Raw genomic sequence first — 2624 nt, forward strand, 5'->3', positions numbered from 1 at the left:
TTTACCGTCAAAATGCAGGCAGTCTACTAGCTAATTTCAAATGCATAAATGAGTGCCTAATCAAAAAAATCATCAAATATCTGAGAAAAATGGACACCATAAAAGAGAGATAATCTCAACCAGATGAAGTATTTCTACCTGTAAAAGAGTTATTAGCTCAATCAGAACAGAACTTTAAAGTACTATATTAGTATCCTACATTATAATTTCTCTATACTTTCATAGTCAATTTATTCCCTTATTCTCTTAAATAATATTTTCACACTGCCATCTCTCTCTTCAGTCTTTCCCGACACAGTCGCCACTATCTGCTGATGCTGTTTATTCCTGTATGAGTGAGAATGTTGAAATAGATTCCAATACCAATTGCACCCTAACCAGCATTTGTACCCACATCCTCTTCTGGAATTTTTCTTGCTACTTATAAATGAACATTCTATGCTTCCAGCTGAAGAGCATCCATTCAAGAACACTTGTTCCCAGATCTCATTTTCTACTCTCTGATATTTCTCAATCTGTTCTTGATTCTCTCCATATATATATATATATATATATATATTTTTTTTTTTTTTTTAATTTTTATTTTTTTTTGAGACAGAGTCTTGCCCTATCACCCAGGCTAGAGTGCATAGTATATAGTGAAGCCATCTCAGCTCACTGCAACTTTTGCCTCCCAGGTTGAAGAGATTCTCTTGCCTCCACCTCCTGAGTAGCTGAGACTGTAGTTGCATGACACCACACCTGGCTAATTTTCGTATTCGTAGTAGAGATGGGTTTCAGCATGTTGGCCAGGCTGGTCTCAAACTCCTGGCCTCAGACAATCCACTCACTTCGGCCTCCCAAAGTTCTGGTATTACAGATGTGAGCCACTACTCCCGGCCCTATTTTTGATTCTCTTCTAAATAAAACCATCAGAAAAAAAGTGGCAATAATTTCTTTAGTCTTAAAAATATTTATTTATCTTCATATCACTTATCCTGTCACTTATGACTTCTTGTTTCACTTTGCATCAGACATCCTCAAATTAGTTATTTATAGATCTAACTTCCAGTTCCTCTCCTGTTTTACACTACGATCACTACAATTAGACTTTGGTTATCACTTTATAAAAACTTTTATTGTCATTGTATTTTCATTGTTATTAATGACCTACCTGATGATAAGTAAAATTGTTATTTCTCCTTCCTTGTTCTAGTGAAATTATCGGCAGTATCTGACATAATTGATTATAAATAATTTCTTCTCTCACCTTTCATCTACTCTTCTTGCTTACTTTTTTCTTTTTTTTACTAAACATTTTATTTTGTAATAATTGTAGATGCAGGTGCAGTAGTAGGAATTACTAAAGATATATCCCATGCACCCTTTAGTCAATTTCTTCCAAAGGTAGCATTTTGTAAAACCTAGTATAATATCACAAGCAGCATATTGATATTGATGCAATTAAAATACAGAAATATTTTTTACCAAAAAGTTCTTCTGTGTTTCTCTTAACTCTTGGCAACCACTAATCTATTCTTCATTTCTACAAATCTTACTCCAAGACTGACAGAACGAGATTATACAATAAGTAGCCTTTTGATGTCAGCTTTTTTTTACACCTATGTTGACAACCACTGTTATAAGGGACTAGATAAGGCACAACAATTACTGACCCATCTTCTGTCATAGCCTTCCTCTCACACATCCATTATGGACATCACTATTGATAGCAGTGCCCAGTCTGCTTAGTCTAGGCATTGTGTCGCCATCTTTCTCAACACAAGAACCCACCCAACAGCTACCAATAGTTCAACATTGGAACAAGGGACAAGATCTTTTTGCCATTCCGGTACTAGATAAGTCTTAGGATCTGTCTCTAAAATTCTGAGTCTGAGATTCCCTCTAGTAATGAGAAATGAGAAATGATAATGAAGTTCACAGGTTAACTCATGGAATATTTGATGTGTCTCAGAGTTATTTTTTTTTCCTGTTTCCATGCTGATGCTCACACATTCTGCAGTGATAATGCTGATGAGTGATGAGTGAATCCACATAGAGATAACCAGTATGTGCTTCTCCAGACACTTGGTCAATATGTTATGTTCTATATTCTGGAAATAAAGGTATCAAACATTGTGATTAATATTTTTTAATTTTTTTAAATGTTAATAGGTTTTGGGGAACAGCTGGTGTTTGGTTACATGAATAAGTTCTTTAGTGGTGATTTCTGAGATTTTGGTGCACCCATTACCTGAGCAGTGTACACGGTACCCAATGTGTATTCTTTTATCCCTATCCACTCTCCACCCTTTCCTCTAAGTTCCCAAAGCCCAAATGCCCATCAATGAGTGGATAAAGAAAATGTGGTATGTATATGTGTACATAGAGAGATAGATAACTAGATATACACTATATATATATACACATACACACACACCCACCATGGAATACAACTCAGCCATAAAAAAGAATGAAATAATGCTATTCTCAGCAGCCTGGATGGAACTGGAGACTATTATTCTAAGTGAAGTAACTCAGGCATGGAAAACCAAACATCTTATGTTCTCACTTACATGTGGGAGCTAAGCTATGAGGATGCAAAGGCATGAGAATGATAACACTGTTTTTGTTTGTTTGTGTTT

The sequence above is a fragment of the Homo sapiens genome, chromosome 1, assembly GCF_000001405.40.
Source record: "Homo sapiens chromosome 1, GRCh38.p14 Primary Assembly".
In the NCBI taxonomy this organism is placed as follows: domain Eukaryota; kingdom Metazoa; phylum Chordata; class Mammalia; order Primates; family Hominidae; genus Homo; species Homo sapiens.